At 36.3% G+C, this 20,079-nt stretch overlaps 1 annotated feature.

The window, feature by feature from the left end:
- Window positions 917–1,596: an enhancer, noted in NCBI's record as "NANOG-H3K27ac hESC enhancer chr10:55504311-55504990 (GRCh37/hg19 assembly coordinates)". NCBI's record gives its function as "activates a minimal SCP1, AML or CMV promoter by ChIP-STARR-seq in naive H9 embryonic stem cells {active_cell/tissue: H9 hESC(naive)}" and the evidence as "EXISTENCE:reporter gene assay evidence [ECO:0000049][PMID:30033119]".

The following is a 20,079-nucleotide window of genomic DNA, read 5'->3' as shown; positions in this document are numbered from 1 at the left end:
ACTTTGCACTAGCTAGAATTTTCTTTAAATAAACTAAACTACCAAAATTTGGAGATTGTTACTAACACATAAGTTGGCCCATCCTGATAAATACAGATATGTTTGAGAGAATCATAAATAGTTCCCTAAAATATCTAGCAGTTAGGCAATCTTACTGATATGGTTTGGATCCGTGTCCCCATCCAAATCTTATGTTAAATTATAATCCCCAGTGTTAAAGGTGGGGCCTGATGGGAGGTGATTGGATCATAGGGGTGGATCCTTCAAGAATGGTTTAGCACCATCCCTTTGGTGCTATTCTCATAATAGAGTTTTCACGAGGTCTAGTTGTTTAAACGTGTGAAGCATCTCCCCCTGACATCTTGCTCCTGTGCTGGCCATGTAAGATGAGGCTGCTTTCCCATCACTTTCCACTAGGACTGTAAGTTTCCTGAGGCCTCCCAAGAAGCCAAGCAGAGGGCAAGCATCATGCTTCCTGTACAGCCCATGGAACCATGAGCCAATTAAACCTCTTTGTTTATAAATTATCCAGTGTCACGTATTTTTTTTTTTTACAGCAGTACAAGAATAGGCTAATATAGAAAATTGGTACTGAGGAGTGGGGCATTGCTATAAAGATACCTGAAAATGTGGAAGCAGCTTTGAAACTGGGTAATGGACAGAGGTTAAAACAGTTTGAAGGGCTCAGAAGAAGACAGGAAGATGAGGAAAGTTTGGAACTTCCTAGAGGCTTATTGAATGGTTGTAACCCAAATGTTGATAGTAATGTGAACAGAGATGGCCAAACTGATGAGGTCTCAGATGGAGAAGAGGAACTTATTGGAAACTGGAGTAAAGGTAACTTTTGTTATCCTTTGGCAAAGAGCCTTGGTGCATTGTGCCCCTGCCCTAGGGATCTGTGGAAATTTGAACTTTAGAGTGATGATTAAGGGTATCTGGCAGGAGAAATTTTTAAGCAGCAAGGTGTTCAAGGTGTAGCCAGGCTGCTTCTAAAAACCTATGCTCATATGCATGAGCAAAAAAGTAACCTGAAACTGAAACTTATATTTAAAAGTTTTGGAAAATTTGTACCATGGCCATATAATAGAAAAGAAAAGCCCATTTGCAAGAAAGGAATTCAAGCAGGCTGCAGATATTTGCATAACTAAAGGAAGGCAAGTGCTGACAGCCAAGGCAATGGAGAGAAAGCCTGGAAAGCATTTCAGAGACTTTTGTGGCAATCCCTCCCATCACAGGCAGGAAGCATAGGAGGGAAGAATGGTTTCTTGGACCAGGCCCAGGGCCTCATTGCCCTGCACAGCATCAGGACACTGCTCCCTGCATCCCAGCCACTCTAGCTCCAGCTGTGGCTCAATGGAGCCCAGGTACTGCTCAGGCAACTACTTCAGAGTTTGGAAGCTGTAAGCCTTGGTGGTTTCCACAGGCTGTTAAGCCTGTGAGTGCAGAGTATAAGAGCTGAGGCTTGAGAGCTTCTGCCTAGATTTCAGAAGATGTATGGAAAAGCCTGGATGTCCATGCAGAAGTCTGCTGCAATGATGGAACCCTCATGAAGAACCTCTAGTAGGACAACGTAGAAGGGAAATGTGGAGTTGAGTCCCCACACAGAATCCCCACTGAGGCACTGCCTAGTGGAGCTGTGAGAAGAGGGCCACCATCCTCCAGACTCCAGAATGGTAGTCCACCAGCAGCTTGCACCCTGTACCTAGAAAAATCATAGGCACTGAATGCCAGTCCCTGAGAGCAACCACAGGGGATGAACCCTGCAAAGCCACAGAGGCAGAGCAGCCCAAGGCCTTGGAAGCCGACCCGTTACATCAGTGTGCCCTGGATGTGAAACATGGAGTCAAAGGAGATTATTTTGAAGCTTTAACATTTAATGACTGCTCTGCTTGGTTTGGTTTTGAACTTGCATGGGGCCTGTAGCCTCTTTATTTTGGCAAACTTCTTCTTTTTGGAATGGGAGTATTTGCCAAATGCCTACACTTTCATTGTATCTTGGAAGTAACTAACTCATTTTGATTTTACAGATTCATAGGCAGAAGAGACTAGCCTTGTCTTAGATGCCATTTTGGACTTGGGATTTCTGAGTTAACGCTGGAATGACTTAAGTCTTTGGGGACTATTGGGAAGGGATGATTGTATTTTGCAATGTGAGGACATGAGATTTGGGAGGGGCCAGGGGTGGAATCACACGGTTTGGATCCATATCCCCATCAAAATCTCATGTTCAATGGTAATCTCCAATATTGGAGATAGGGCCTGGTGGGAGGTGATTAGATCATGGGGGAAGATCTTTCATGAATGGTTTAAGCACCATCCCTTTGGTGCTGTTCTCATGATACCGTTCTCATGAGACCTGGTTATTTAAAAGTGTGTAGTACCTCCTCTCCACCTCTCTTTCTTGCCCTTGCTTCAGCAATGTAAGATGAGCCTACTTCCTCTTCACTTTCTGCCATGATTGTAAGTTTCTTGACCCTCACAAGAAGCTGAGCAGATGGCCGGCATCATGCTTCTTGTACAGCCATTGGAACCATGAGCCAGTTAGACCTCTTCAGTTTATAAATTACTCAGTATCAGGTGTTTCATTATGGCAGTGGAGAATGGATTAATACGCTTACCAATAACATGATTTTTAGGCTTTAAGATTAAAGAGAAAACAGTTTTCAAGCAAAGTACCTTAATACACAGTAGTAAGATGAGCATAAATTCTTCCTAAGATTCTTATAAAAATGTACATTGTATGCTATAATAAGTAAGAAAAATGATAGAGAGCCTTAATTTTATCTTTCTATAATCCAGAAATTATGTTATGCACATTTTTGCTGGATAATTTTACTTAATCTTTACAAAACACCACTGAAGAATGTACTATTATTATCCACAATCTACAGATACGAAAAGTGAGACAGAGAGATCAAGGATTTTGCCCAAAGTCAGGCAGCTAGTAAGTAGCTGCAGAGGTAAACCTTACATGCTATTTATCTTAAGAAAATTTAAATAGAAAATTATATTAGCTTCCCTTTTAATCAAAGAAAATATAAAATCAGAAAAATAAATACCCTTTTAAGCATGGAATTAGCTGTAATTAATGAGAAACTATAAAACAAATTGTGTGGCCTTATAACAGCTTTGTTGTTCAGGCTCTATATTATAACACACTTCTCTGCTGATAAGAGGTGCTAACGATATAAAATACTCAATACTCAGGTTGCTAAATAATGAATTCACCTACTAACTAATCAGAACAGGTAAGAATTAAAGCTAAATTTGTTTCTTCATGCTCATATTTCACAAATTTGCTTGACTGTATTTTCTACCATTGAATTTAAAATATGAAATGTCTGATCAACATTTTACTAAAACAGGTGAATCTTCAATATATTCATTAATATTTAAGAAAACTGAGTAATCAAAGGTATTTTCATACAAACAGTATTAGTTTATATTGTTTAAATTAATGAATATGACACAATTTTTTCATTTTTTCTTCAAACATACATAAAGAATATTTTATTTTTCTCTAATAACTGCTCTTATCTATTTTCTTTTTTGCAAATGATTAAAAGATAGATTACTTATGAATTGTTAAATATATTGAAGTTCTTTAACAGTTTCTGATAAAAGCAAATGCAAAAATTTACAGGTCAACTCTCAACAGATTTTTTTGACTCAGGACATATGATCTTAACCAACAAGAATTTCCTACATGTCATTTGGAGATACAAGAATATTTCCAAATACTTATTTTCATTCTTATCTTTGGGGAAATAAAACATTCCTTAACTTTCAATGTTTTGAATTATTTTAACTTTATAATAATGTGAAAGCCATGCACATTATGTAGAAACCTTACTTCGAGTGCCCATACAACCATTCTGTTCTTCACTTTCAGTACAGTATTCAATAAATTACGTGAGCTATTCAACACTTTATTGTAAAATAGACTTTGTATTATACATTTGTCCAACTGTAGGCTAATGTAAGTATTCTGAGCATGTTTAAGGTAGGCTAGGATAAGTTTGTATTAAATGCATTTTTAAACTTAACAGTATTTTAAAGTTAAGGTGAAAATTTAATTTATCAGGACGTAAGCCCCTTGTAAGTCAAGGAGCATCTGCATATGGGTGCTCACTGAGCAGTCAATAGGTAACATTTATAAAGGAGCTGCTCAAGGCTAGAGTCCTCATGCTTTCCAAGAAAAGTAAAGCATTGTATCAGGTATCCTTGCTCTTAATACAAATAGAATAAAATCATAAAAGTTTTCAACCTCACTGAAAATTTCCATAATTAGTCCCTGTTGTTTAGTGATAAAGAAGCACACATTTTGACTTAGATTATGAAATTAAGGCAACATTTTTACATAGCAAAATTTTCCTTTGCAAAACTCTAGCTACAAGTTATTTGAAATTATCTTGACATGAAGTAGAAAAATTCTTTTTATTTCTCAGAATTAACAGAATTTGCTACAAATGTCATTGTTTTATAGGTAAATTTGATTCAAGGTAAATTATCTTCTTGTAAGAATTTAAATTTTAATACCAGCAAAGTCATAAAGGTACCAATTTTGAGAATACCATTTGGCATAAAAAATCTGTTATTATCTATGTTAATCTGGTTTTGCCCATGATTCCCATTTTCCCCTTTTTCTCTGCAGCTATTCAGCTGTAAATGCCTTCTGTATTCAACTACATACACTACTATACTTCAGCACTGTGAGAGCCCTTAATTATAAGGTAAGTGGACATACAATCTAAGAGAAAAATACCACTTTTCTTTTTTTGGCATTTAAATTTTTAAAAACGTTTGACAGAGTAAATGCATAAGTGATAGAATGCTTTTTAAAAAGCATATATCTTAATTATTCTCATCACAGAAGTGCAATATATGAGAAGTTAAAACAGACATTTAGCAGTTACAGGGATTCTGCATTACTAAAAAATGAATGAACACAGCAGGTTTTGAGATAATTTAACTCATTTTTTAAGTTAGAATTTTTTATGCAGAGTGCATATAGCTTCAATTATTAGTAGCTGCTAATCAAATAATTTAAAACTTTTTGTAAAAATATAACATTTTTTACTTGTTGAAGAACTTAGTCATTTCAAATGCTCCTTTTATCTGGGCTAGTTCTTTAACATTTACTGAGGTTTATATTCATGCAATAGGTTAATCATTGCAAGATGGTTATAAAATAGTGTTCAGATAGATCTTCATATTTTGTAGAATGCATAACACATTTAACAACAGACTTAATACAGTTTAACTAAACTCTCATCATTTTTACCAATAGTTTTCTTTTTTTTTTTGAGACGTAGTCTCATTCTGTCTCCCAGGCTGGAGGGCAGTGGTGCGATCTCGGCTCACTGTAACCTCTGCCTCCTGGGTTCAAGCGATTCTCCTGTCTCAGCCACCTGCATAGCTGTGACTACAGGTGCACGCCACCACACCAGACTAATTTTTGTATTTTTAGTAGAGACGGGGTTTCACCATGTTGGCCAGGCTGGTCTCGAACTCATGACCTCAAGTGATACACCTACCTCGGCCTCCCAAAGTGTTGGGATTACAGGAGTGAGCCACCGTGCCTGGCCTCATTTTTACCAATAGTTTAATGCTGGGCACTGATATAATAGAAAAACTCTTGACAAATGTACTAGTATAATTCTCATTTTCGACAGTGGGGAATTTTTATTCCACTCACTTTTTTCTTTGTCAGATTTTATTTTTTAACCACTCAACAGTGGAAGAAAATACAGGCATAATTGTTGATATTGCAATGTGCATAAACACTTTGATATCTAAATTTTCAAGGTAAATTACCTGTATCTCAAAAACATTTTACTGATGTGCTTAGGTTGTAAGAGAGGAAGTACCATTTCTCACACATCGACCCCTCTCAGTCTTCCTGCCCCATAAATGACTTAATAAGGTAAGTTGGAAACTTCTTTTACAGGGGAAAATAAAAATATCCAAAATTAATCTGAAGTCTAACAAGACAATCCACTGAGGTAATTATGCTATGGCTCTACTATGTGGTTTAGCAAAAATTACTATTTCACATTTTAAAAGCCACTTATATTAGTAGAGGCATAGCTCATTTTATTGTACTTCACTTTGCAGTACTTTGCAGATGCTGCATTTTTTAAAACATTGAAGGTTTATGGCAACCCATCATGGAGCAACTCTCTCAGTACCATTTTTTCCAACAGCATGTCCTCACTTCATGTCTGTGTCATATTTTGGTAATTCTCACATTTTAAACTTTTTAATTATTATTATATCTGTTATGGTGATCTGTAATCAATGATCATTGATGTTACTATTGTAATTGTTTTGGGGTGCCATAACTACACCCATATAACAAGGCGTACTTTAAAAAAAGATGTATGCACTCTGATTACTCCATCAGCCAGTGGTTCACATATCTCTTTTCCTCTCCTCAGGCCTCCTTAATTGCCTGAAGACAACAATATTGAAATCAGGTTAATTAATAACCCTACAATGACCTCTAAGTGTTCAAGGGAAAGAGAGTAACACAGCTCTCAGGTTAAATCAAAATAAATGACTTTAAATTGAAACCACGGTTCAGTAACCACCCAGACGATCCTATAGCCCTTAAGAATTATACTAAATTTGCTATGCTGGTGTTCTATAAATGCAACACCTAAGCCTGGATGAGAGCACATCTGTCTATAGTACAGTTTTCTGAGTATTTTAAGCCCATGTTTGAGACCTAATGCTCAGAAATAAAAATATTTATTTCAAAATATGACTGCTCATTGACAATGCAATTTGTCACCAAAAAGCTCTGATGGAGATGTACAAGGATATTAATGTTGTTTTCATGCCTCCTAATGAAACATGGATCAAGGAGTAATTTCAACTTTCAAGCATTATTATTTAAGAAATACAATTTATAAGAGTATAGCTGCCACAGATAGGATTCCTTGGATGGATCTGGTAAAGTATTGAAAACCTTCTGGAAAGAATTTACCATTTTAGATGCCATTAAGAGCATTTCATGAAAGGAGGTCAAAATATAAACATTAATGGAAGTTAGGAAGAAATTGATTTCAACCCTCACGGATGACTATGAGGGATTCAAGACTACAGTGGACAAAGAAACTGCAGTTGTTGTAGAAATAGCAAGATAATTAGAATTAGAAGTGGGGCCTGAAGATGTGACTGAATCACTGCAGTCTGATGATAATATTTTAATGAAAGAGGAGTTCCTTCTAAGGAATAAGCAAAGAAAGTGGTTTCTTGACTCCTGGTGAAGATGTCATGAACACTGTTGAAATGACAACAAAGAATTTAGAATATTAAATAGATTTAGCTGATGAAGCTACTTCAGGCATTGAGAGGATTGACTCCAATTTTGAAAGAAGTGTGACTGTGGGTAAAATTCTACCAAATAGCGTTGCATGCTACATAGAAATATTTCATGAAAGAATCAATTGCTACAGCAAACTTCATTGCTTTCTTATTTTAAAAAATTGCCATAGCCATCCCAAACTTCAGCTGCCACCATCCTAATCAGTCAGAAGCTCCAGTAAAAAGGTTAAGACTTTCTGAAGACTCAGGTGATCTTTAGCATATTTTAGCAATAATACATTTTTAATTAAGATAGGTACATTGTGTTTTCATACATAATGTTATTACACACTTTATAGACCACTATATAGTGCACACATACTTTTATATGCACCAGGACAAAATTTTGCCTCACTCTATTGTGATATTCAATTTATTGTGGTGGTCTGGAAGCAAACCTACAATATCTCCAAAGTATGCCTACATTTATTATAATAGGCATACAGTTAATTTTCAGATGTATTTATACTTATGTTTAAAGATTCTCTGTATTGTAATTATTCTTTCATTATTTACCTCATGCAAGTCTGGTATAATTGTTGCCACTGTTGTATTTATCACTCTCCCAACCCCCTTAAGGCTCCACAAGTACATTCTGAATTCTTAAGTTGTTTGAACACAGATGGAAAATCAATTCAAAGGAAGAGATGATATCCACTTCCAGAAAACTATGCTAAGCAAATGAATCTGCTGCTAGGATCTTTTTGATTTTTATATCTAATGCTTCTGCATATTTTAAAGGAAGCCTTTTGACATGAGCACATGGTCTCTGCAGAGTTAATTAATAACCCATAAATGATAATTATATTAGCCAGGTTAATTTTCATCTAGAACTAAATTGCAGGACAGGTTTAAAGGTGATGAATATTCTGTCATTTAAAAGGTCATTTGTGGAACACAGAGATAGAATCAAGGATACAGCCTCTCCAAGGCTGGGAATCTATCTTGAGAGTGGAATTTGCCACTTATTCAATAAAATTGCTTACATGAGATTTGTCTTCGGTCTCCTCAATTAATTTTGTCTGCAGAAAAAGTGATTTTACTCACTTTATCTCTACTCTTTGAATCTTATTGTTAAAGCTTAAATATTTTTATATTTAAATTGCACAATTTGATTTTTATGCCCACACATACATATAAAACTTTCAAAACCCTCAACATACACATATTATAGTAATTAACATATCCACTATTCCCCATACTTCCCTTGTGCCACTTTGTAATCTGTAATGACTCTATATCCCACCCTATTCTGAAGCAACCATGGATTGGTTTGTATTTTCTAGAATTTATGTAGTTTTGCCTAATTTATTTTACTTAGCATAATTATTTTGACATTCATACATGTTATAATGTGTATCAATATTTCAATCTTTTTTATTGCTGAATAGTGTTCCATTTACAGACATACCACAGCTTTCTTATCTACTTATCTCATGACAGACATTTAAGTTGCATCTATGTTTTGGCTATTACAGAGGCAACTGCCATGAATATGTGTGAAAGCCTTTGTATGGACACATACTCTCAGTTATGTCTGTAAATGCCTAGGAATGGAATCACTGAATAATATGGTAGGCATATGTTTAATTTTCTGAAAGAAAAATTCAAACTTTTCCCAAAGTGTTTGTACTATTTTACATTTCTAGCAGAAGCTTATGAGAGTTATAGTAACTCCACATTCTCACCAATACTTGGTATCGTCAAACTAAGCCTTCATAATATGTGTATAATGATATCTCATTGTGGTTTTAATTTGCATTTCCATAGTGGCTAATGATCTTGAGCATCTTTTTATGTGCTTATTTGCCATCAACATATTTTCATAGCCGAAGTGCTGTGTTTTCATTACTATTTCTTTTATTTCAAGTTCAAATTGTTACCAGTATGCAGATATTAAATGAATTTTTGTATACTGATCTTGTATCCTACAACCTTGCTAAACTAATATATTAGTTCAAGTACTCTTTTTTTGTAGTTTCTTTGAAGATCCCATGAGATGACAGTGATACTGTCTTTATTTATGTAGAAAATCTCTTGGAATCTACAATCTTCATTTATTTCTATCATAAATAAAGACAGTTTTCCATTTCAATATGGATACCTTTTAATTTTTTTTTTTTTTTTGGTCTTATTGCACTTACTAGAATCTACAGTGTAATGTTGAATTAAGATGGTGAGTGAAGACATATTTGCGCTGTTCTTGACCTTAGAAGGAAAGCATTTGGCTTGTCACCATTAAGTATGTTAATGAGTTGCTTCTTTTGTTTGTTCAATTGTTTTTTATAGACGCTGGTTTTTGTTTTTTTTTTTCTTTTTTTTGAGATGGAGTTTTGCTCTTGTGATCCAGGCTGGGGTACAGTGGCGTGATCTCTGCTCACTGCAACCCACACCTCTAGGGTTCAAGTGATTCTCCTGCCTCAGCCTCCAGAGTAGCTGGGATTACAGGTGCCCACTACCACAACCGGCTTATTTTTTGTATTTTTAGTAGAGACAATGTTTTGCTATGTTGGGCAGGCTGATCTCAAACTCCTGACCTCAGGTGATCCACCCACCTTGGCCTCCCAAAGTGCTGGGATTACAGGCATGAGCCACCATGCCTGGCCAGTAGATCCTGTTTAAAGACAGGAAGTTATTTCTTTGTACTCTTGGTTTGCTGATAATTTTTTTAAAAATCATAAATGGATGCTGAGTTTTTCAAATACATTTTTGTCTATTAAGATAATAATGTTTTTTAATATATTAATATAGTAAACTGTATTTATAAAATTTTTATAATTACAGAAATCTCTCCTTTACTTCTAAATTCAATTAACTTTAAGAATAAATTATACACATAGTGTATATAATTACTAAACTAATATTGATGTATTAATATTATTCACTGAAGTCCATAGTTCATTCCAATTTTTTTAGTTTTTGCCTAATGTCCTTTATCTGTTCCAGAATCCCATCTTTACATTTATATTTATTGTCATTTAGTTATTGGGAGTTCATAGTTTGGCTCCTTATGGCTGTGATGGTTGCTCAGAATGTCCTTGTTTTTCATAAACTGAACAGTTTAAGAAGTACTAGTCAGGTATATTGTAGGATGCCTCACTAAAGGAATCTTTTCTAATGTTTTCCTCATGATTATGCTTACCTTATATGTTTTTAAGAAGAAATCACAGAGGTAAGTTGCCACTTTATCACATCATATCAAGGATACTGCTATGATATGACTGTGTCCCCTTCAAAATTCATGTTGAAACTCAATCCTGAAACCAACAGTTTGAAGGAGACTTCACACATTCTTTGCCCCTTTTTGGACTTCCAACTTTTATCATATGAGGATTCAGCAACAAGGCACCATCCTGGAAGCAGAGAGTACCCCTTACGCAACAATGAACCTGCAGTACCTTGATCTTGGACTTCTCAACTTCTAAAACTGTGAGAAAATAAATTTCTGTTGTTTAATTACCTAGTCTGTGGTATTATGTCACAGCAGCTCAAATGGACTATAATAAATTCCATGAGATGACAGTGATACTGTCTTTATATATGTTGAAAATCTCACAGAATCTATAATCTTCATTTATTTCTATCGTAAATAAAGACAGCTTTTCTTTTCAATATGGATACCTTTTAACTCGTTTTCTTGCCCTATTGCACTGACTAGAATCTCTAGTGTAATGTTGAATAAAAGTGCTTCTGATACTGCTTCCAAGGCCTTCATTTTGGTGTATTGTTTTCTGAGCCCCATCATGATACGGGAAGATGACAAGGGGCTAGAATTAAATAATTGCGCTTCTTTGAGGTCAGGTAAAGCTTGATAAATTTCCCTTGGACAGAAATCTTTTCATGGAGAATTCGTTGTTCATATTTGTAAATGGTTCTTTCTCCTTTCTGTCAATAATGTGAGGATTTTGCTTTCTCTTTTTTTTTCTTTCTTTTTTTACTTTTTGCTCTTTACTGAGAGAGCCTGGTGGGTTTCCTGGGGGTACAATCCAGGAAAGTATCTCCTTACTCCAAATATATTTATCAAAATTATCATTAAAGTGTTTACTAGCTTGTACTTCCACTAGCCTCTGCTCAAACCGATCTCAGTTGTATTTCTCTCATTTGCTTTGCTCTCTAGATGTCAGAGTGGCAGGTTGCCTGAGACCAAAGTTCCCTGATGAATTGCACTGAAGTAATTTATTTTTAATTTTTATTTTTTCTAGTTGTAAGTATGAGAATGACAACTTCCAAATTGTACACATGATATAGCTAAAATTATGTTTCTTGATTGATTTTATTTTTTTAATGTTAAAACTGTTGATGCAAAACCCAAATTCTGTCAAAATATTTTAAAAGGTCTATTCTGAGCCAACATGAATGACCACAGCCCAGGGAAACAGTCTCAAGAGGTCCTGAGGAAGAGCTCCCATGTGGTTGGGTTATAGTTTGATTTTGCACATTTCAGGGAGATAGAAAATATAGGTAAAATCATAAATCGATGCATGGGAGGAATATACTGATTTGGCCCCAAAAGGCAGGACATCTCAAAGCAGAGGCTTACAAGTCATAGGTGAGTTTAGGGATTCTTTAGTAAGCAATTGGTTGAAGAGTTAAGCTTTGTCTAAAAACTTGAAGTCAGTGGAGAGAAATGCTTATGTTTAGATAAGTAGGTATGTTATCTGTTATGTGATGCCATATCAGAATCAGTCTGGAAAGTGAGTCAGAATATACTGGATCACAGAGACCTGTTTAATAAGATTTTATGTCTTGGAAGGCATAACTTTCCCCAGGCACTTTGGAAAAAAATTTGAGCAAGGATTAAAAGTCAGAGTTTAATCCTCAAATGCTTGGTAGAATTTAACAGCAAATCTACCTAGCCCTAGAGTTTTCTTTATGGGAAAGCTAACGACAGACTCAATTTTTTTTTTAACAGACATGAGACTATTTAAATAATTTATTTCTTCTTGATTGAACTAAGTAGTTTGTATATTAAGTGAATGTGTACATGCTAAGTTGTTGAATTTTTGTCATAAATTAATTCACAATATGTTCTTAATTTTCTTTATACCTGTAAATTCAGTACAGATATCACTTTTCTCATTTATGATATTTGTAATTTGTGTCTTTTATTTATATCAGTTTTTTATAGATGTATTAATTTTATTGGTCTTTCAAACATCCAATTCCTTTTTATGTTCTATTGATTTCAGTTCCAATATTTTTTTTTACTTATTTTTTGCTTACTTTGAATTTAATTTGTTCTCCTTTTCAGGACTAATATTGGTAGCTAAAGTAATTGGTTAGGCTTCTTTCTTCATTTCTAGCATAGAAATTCATTGCTATAAATTTCTCTGTAAGTACTGCATCATAGCATCCCCAAACATAATGTGTCATGCTTTTATTTTTATTGATAAAGTTTCTTATTTCTCTTTTGTTTTTCTTGACTCATGGATTACTTAGAATAACCATTTAGCTTCCATGTTTTGGAAAATTTTGAAGATCTCTTTTTCATATTGATTTCTAACTTAATTTAATTATATTCATATAATAAGCTTATATAATAAGACTTAAAAAGTTACTAAAATGATCCCAGCAGTTTGGGAGCCCAAGGTGGGCAGATGGCCTGATCTCGGGAGTTTGAGAACATCCTGGGCAACATGGTGAAACCGTACCTCTACAAAAACATGCAAAATTAGCTGGGCATGGTGGTGGGCACCTGTAGTCCCAGCTACTAGGAAGGCTAAGGTGGAAGTGTTGCTTGAGCCCAGGAGGAGGAGGCTGCCGTAAGCCAAGATCACACCACTGCACTCCAGCCTGAGTGACAGAATGAGACCTTGTTTCAATAAATAAATAATTCTTACAAAAATGTAGTTCGTAAACCGAAACTTGCAATTCTTTGGTAAATGCTCTGTGTGCATATAAAAAAATCTGTATTTTGCTATTGTTGGGTGAAGTGTTTTAGAAATACAAACTAAGTAAAGTTGGTTGACAGTAATATTCAAATAGCCTATATCCTTACTGATTTTCTTTGTACTTGTTCTAACAATTATTGAAATAGGAGTTTTGAAATCTCTTAATATTTTTGTGAAATTTTCTCTCTCTCACTGTGGTTCTATCAGCTTTTCCTTTCTGTATTTTAAAGCGATGTGATTAAATTCACAAACAGTTGGTGTAACTGGTATAGCCAGGTTACCAGCTTACTCTAAAGGTAGCCCTTCTCTTGCTTTGTTTCTTGCCACACATATATCTAACTACTTGTTTGCTTGAGAATTCCAAAGGCCAATCTTGAAACAATCCAGACATGAAGTGGAGATGGCAGTTGCAATTTTCTCCCTTCCAAGAATAAATTGATGCACAGTTAACCCATAACCCTGCCCCTGCCAAGATGATGCCACCCAGCCACTGGATAGTCCATGCCTAAAGATAACCATCAGAAAATAAGATGCAGACCTGCACCCCACACCACTCCTGCACATAGTTTCCATGCCACTCTCTCTTTTTAAAAACTCTTTAGCTAGGTGCTGAATTTGAGATAGCTTGAGATGTGAGTCTGGCCATCTCTCAAGCTACTGGCACTTCAACAAACCTGCTTTTCTTCCACCATACCTTGCTTCTCCTGTTTGGCTTTTCAAGTGGCAAGCAGCGGAACCTGAGTTCAGTTTGTAAACCAAATATAAAATTTTGAACTCTTCAACAAACTGATAGACACCCATCTCAGCCAAGGGCATTCCGAAATAAACCTGAAAATCTAGTTTAGACCATAATGGGAAGGTGGGTTCAGCGATGCCTCATTATACTCTCCTCGCTTTGGAATTTAGGCAAAAATGACCAGCATTCAACTTAAAACAGAGATCTTATGACAGGCAAAGTAGCCTGTAGCAATAAGACACCAAATTCCAACCTGACTCTAGTACAATATCACATGACAGACAGCAGCATTGAAAGAAATTGAATTTTTTTTTATTATTATACTTTAAGTTCTAGGGTACATGTGCATAACATGCAGGTTTGTTACATATGTATACATGTGCCATGTTGGTGTGCTGTACCCATTATCTCGTCATTTAGATTAGGTATATCTCCTAATGCTATCCCTCCCCCCGCCCCCATCCCCCAACAGGCCCTGCTGTGTGATGTTCCCCACCCTGTGTCCAAGTGTTCTCATTGTTCCGTTCCCAGCTATGAGTGAGAACATGCGGTGTTTGGTTTTCTGTCCTTGCGATAGTTTGCTCAGAATGATGGTTTCTAGCTTCATCCATGTCCCTACAAAGGATATGAACTCATCATTTTTTATGGCTGCATAGTATTCCATGGTGCATATGTGCCACATCTACTTAATCCAGTCTATCATTGATGGACATTTGGGTTGGTTCCAAGTCTTTGCTATTGTGAATAGTGACACACGAAACATATGTGTGCATGTGTCTTTATAGCAGCATGATTTATAATCCTTTGGGTATATACCCAGTAATGGGATGGCTGGGTCAACTGGTATTTCTAGTTCTAGATCCTTGAGGAATCATCACACTGTCTTCCACAATGGTTGAACTAGTTTACACTCCCACCAACAGTGTAAAAGTGTTCCTGTTTCTCCACATCCTCTCCAGCACCTGCTGTTTCCTGACTTTTTAATGATTGCCATTCTAACTGGCGTGAGCTGGTATCTCATTTTGGTTCTGATTTGCATTTCTCTGATGGCCAGTGATGATGAGCATTTTTTCATGTGTCTGTTGGCTGCATAAATGTCTTCTTTTGAGAAGTGTCTGTTCATATCCTCTGCCCACTTTTCGATGGTGTTGTTTGATTTTTTCTTGTAAGTTTGTTTAAGTTCTTTGTAGTCTCTGGATATTAGCCCTTTGTCAGATGGGAAGATTGTAAAAATTTTCTCCCATTCTGTAGGTTGCCTGTTCACTCTGATGGTAGTTTCTTTTGCTGTGCAGAAGCTCTTTAGTTTAATTAGATCTCATTTGTCAATTTTGGCTTTTGTTGCCATTGCTTTTTGTGTTTTAGTCATGAAGTCTTTGCCCATGCCTATGTCCTAAATGGTATTGCCTAGGATTTTTTCTAGAGTTTTTATGGTTTCAGGTCTAACATTTAAGTCTTTAATCCATCTTGAATTAATTTTTTATAAGATATAAGGAAGGGATCCAGTTTCAGCTTTCTACATATGGCTAGCCAGTTTTCCCAGCACCATTTATTAAATAGGGAATCCTTTTCCCATTTCTTGTTTTTGTCAGGTTTGTCAAAGATCAGATGGTTGTAGATGTGTGGTATTATTTCTGAGGGCTCTATTCTGTTCCATTGGTCTATATCTCTGTTTTGGTACCAGTACCATGCTGTTTTGGTTACTATAGCCTCTATAGCCTTCTAGTATAGTTTGAAGTCAGGTAGTGTGATGTCTCCAGGTTTGTTCTTTTGGCTTAGGATTGTCTTGGCAATGTGGGCTCTTTTTTGGTTCCATATGAACTTTAGTTTTTTCCAATTCTGTGAAGAAAGTCATTGGTAGCTTGATGGGGATGGCATTCAATCTATAAATTACCTTGGACAGTATGGCCATTTTCACAATATTGATTCGTGCTATCCATGAGCATGGAATGTTCTTCCATTTGTTTGTGTCCTCTTTTATTTCATTTAGCAGTGGTTTCTTGTTCTCCTTGAAGAGGTCCTTCCCATCCCTTGTAAGTTGGATTCCTAGGTATTTTATTCTCTTTGAGGTAACTGTGAATGGGAGTTCACCCATGATTTGGCTCCCTGTTTGTCTGTTATTGGTGTACAGGAATGCTTGTGATTTTTGCACATTGATTTTGTATCCTGAGACTTTGTTGAAGTTGCTTATCAGCTTAAGGAGATTTTGGGCTGAGACGATGAGGTTTTATAATATACAATCATGTCATCTGCAAACAGGGACAATTTGACTTCATCTTTTCCTAATTGAATACCCTTTATTTCTGTCTTGCCTGATTGCCCTGGCCAGAAATTCCAACACTATGTTGAATAGGTGTGGTGAGAGAGGGCATCCCTGTCTTGTGCCAGTTTTCAAAGTGAATGCTTCCAGTTTTTACCCATTCAGTATGATATTGGCTGTGGGTTTGTCATAAATAGCTCATATTATTTTGAGATATGTCCCATCAATACCTAGTTTATTGAGAGTTTTTAGCATGAACGGCTGTTGAATTTTGTTGAAGACCTTTTCTGCATCTATTGAGATAATCATGTGGTTTTTGTCTTTGGTTCTGTTTATATGATGGATTACATTTATTGATTTGCATATGTTGAACCAGCCTTGCATCCCAGAGATGAAGCCAACTTGATTGTGGTGGATAAGCTTTTTGATGTGCTGCTGGATTCAGTGTGCCAGTATTTTATTGAAGATTTTTGCATCGATGTTCATCAGGGATATTGGTCTAAAATTCTCTTTTTTTGTTGTGTCTCTGCCAGGCTTTGGTATAGGATGATGTTGGCCTCATAAAATGAATTAGGGAGGATTCCCTCTTTTTCTGTTGATTGGAATAGTTTCAGAAGGAATTGTACCTCTTTGTACCACTGATAAAATTTGGCTGTGAATCTATCTGGTCCTGGACTTTTTTCTGGTTGGTAGGCTATTAATTATTGTCTCAAACTCCTGGTCTCAAGTGATCCTCCCACCTTGGTTTCCCAAAGTGCTGGGATTATAGGTGTGAGCCACATGCCTGGCTCAGGTGCACAGTTTTAATAGATGTACTAATGTTCTTGTCTGCTAATTCCGATGTCTGAATCTGTTCTAGGTCAGTTTCAGTTGATTAATTTATCTTGTCATTATGGGTCGCATTTTCTTATTTTTACATGCCTTATATATATTTTTAATTATATTCCAGGTGTGAATTTATCTCATTAAATTCTAGTTTGGTATTCATATAAATACTATTTAAAATGGCATGAAATAAATGGGTTTTTTTGGTTTGTTTGTTTGTTTTTCTAGCAGTAGGAAGAACCAACAAAGAAGACGGAAGAACTGGCCAATGACATAAACAAATTTCAAGAGAATGCTCACCTGGGAGTCTTGGTAACAAAGTATTTCAAAATAGGAGACATCAAATGAGTAAGATAATGCCTGAGAGTTGACCACTGTTTTGAGAAATCTAAGTCACTGGAAGCCTTGATGAGAGCCATTTCCACTGAATAGTGGAGAGAGAATCCTGCTTAGACTGCTTAGACTGTCAAGATAAAATGTCAGAATAGGATGTGAACACAGTGAATACAGAGATTTATTTGAGTATTTTAATTCTAAAGCATCATAGGAAACCAGAGCACCTGCTGTCAGGGAAATGTGAAATCAATAGAGAATTTTTTTAAATATTAAATGTCAGATATTTGTATAATTTGGGAAGGCTAAATTAAAGAGGAAAATATTTAGGAAAGGAGAGCAAATGTTTAGAAGAGTGTCTTCTTAAACCAGTAAGAATGGATGGATTTCTACACACATGCTTTAAAATCCAGGCACTGCCAGTTCATGATTATAATTGGAAGACAGGTAACACTTATGGACACAAATAAAGTAGATAAGTAAATGTGATAACAGGAGCCTGTGATAGTTCTGCTATAATTTTCTTCTAATATTTCACTGTAATTGAAGTGAAGTCATATGCTTTATATCACAAAAAGGCAATCAACAATGCATGTCATTTTGGAAATGGTAGTTTATTGGGCATGTGGTGTGGGAGAAGAAAAAGCAAAGAGGTTGATTATTGTAACAATAATTTAATTCCTCTCATATTAACTGAGAGACAAAATTGATTCTAAAACACCCAAGTAAGGAGAATTCCCTCAACTGAGTAGTATGATAAACTATAGCTTCACATTCCAAGGCATCTGAAGCTCTGCTTTTCTTAGTTACATAAATGATCTTTTCCATCAGTAGTCATTCCTTGCATTTCTGTCTTCTTACACACACCTTCACTCTCATTTGAGGCTTGGAACTACTTTACAGAAATCTAAGAGTACACTATTTATTCAAAGCTTTGTATTTCTAAAGGCTACTTTTGGTAAAGGGCAAAAGTTGGCAACTCAACAAGTATTCATTGTGCTGTTTCAACAAGCACTTGCCATTTCTAGTGCATGTTTTCCCCCTTTTACATATCATTTTAAAGGTTTTATAAAAAGAGAATAACAACAGATTGCTGAGAAAGTTAACATCTCATCTATTTACCGCACAAGATCTCTCTCTACTGATGCCTTCTGTTTTGATTATAATGTAGGACAAAATGTATTATGATGATTTGAGAACAGGTTAAGAATTTGTGGAGTTTTGCCTCAACTATTCAAGCATAAATTGATTCTTAATTTTATGCCTCTAAAGTTTCACAATGAAATTGTTCAGATCAGTAACCCCTGTGAAGTATTTCTTATCTATAGCTGATTCCAAAACAAATTTTTACTTTAGCTATAATTCCTCCTAAAAATCTTTCTCTCTTTTTGATACAGGAACGGGGCAGGGAAGTGCTGGGCAGAGAAGGGCAGGGTCCCTGGTGAGGGCTCCACCCTCAGGCCTGTGCCCACGGACCTAAGTGAGAACAGACATTCCTGTTTTCCTGTCCAAATGTGGCATTTTCCAATACCACTCTGGCCCGCCATTCTCCCCATCCTGTGCCTATAAAAACCCTAGACCTTAGTGGACACAGACACAACAGCTGAACATCAAGAGGAGTGGAGGAACAGAGCGGCGGAGAGTAGTGGGCTGCCACAGGAGAGAAACAGAGAAGAACATCTGGACACCAAGGGGAGTTCAGCCAGGGGCGGTCAGAGAAGAGTCAGGCCACTGGGCGGCCTGACTCCAGGGGAATACCACCTTTCCACTCCATCCCCCCTTTTGGTTTTCCATCCATCTCGCTGAGAACCACCTCCACCACTCGATCAAACCTTGCACTCAACCTTCCAGCCCACGTGTGATCTGCTTCTTCCAGTACGCTGGGCGAGAAATCGACTGTCACACTGGTCCCCAGTCCTTGCGATAAGGCAGAGGGTCTATTGAGTTAACACAAGCCGTCTGTAGATGATGTAGTTGAAAGACCACACTGTAACACACGCCCATTTGGACTTCAGGAGTCCTAGATGCTGACATGGGGCTGGAGCCCAAAAAGCACTCCCCACAGCCTCTGCACCTGCCCGTCTACATGCTCCCCCTAGGAGTTCCAGCAGTAGGGCCCCAAAAGAGTGAGCCACACCCCTGTTGCATGCCTTTTGTGGGAGATAAGGGAACTCTATCCCTTTTCATTTTGACCAGTAATGAACATCCAGTTGATTCTCCACAACTACTTTCTCTTCCATTCACACCATAAGATTGTTATTGTCCCTTTTCTGGAATGAACTACACTTCTTGCCCATACTATTAAATATTTTGACACCTAGTAACACACTGTTTTGAAATTATGTATGTCAATGATGTATGTCTCAAATAGGCTTTCTTTATTTTTTGATTAGATAATACATTCCTTGAGTACAGGAATATTTTTAAAATACCTCTTAGAGCCTCTCTCACTTGAAAGAACATGGCAACTCAATACGCATTTAAACTTAAAAATCAAAGAAATATACCAGTGCGTGTGTTTGTGTGCATCTGTGTGTGTGCATGTGTGACTGTAATTACCTAGCTCTGAAATTTAAGTATAATTTCCTCAAAGAAGTCTTTGTGCTATGCTTAATTGTTTAGGGATTTTTAAAAATACTCTCACTGAATTCTAAGGTAGATCCCTA

Source organism: Homo sapiens, chromosome 10 (genome assembly GCF_000001405.40).
Source record: "Homo sapiens chromosome 10, GRCh38.p14 Primary Assembly".
Classification (NCBI taxonomy): domain Eukaryota; kingdom Metazoa; phylum Chordata; class Mammalia; order Primates; family Hominidae; genus Homo; species Homo sapiens.
Note: the sequence above shows the minus strand (reverse complement) of the source record. Positions and strands in the feature narration are given on the sequence as shown.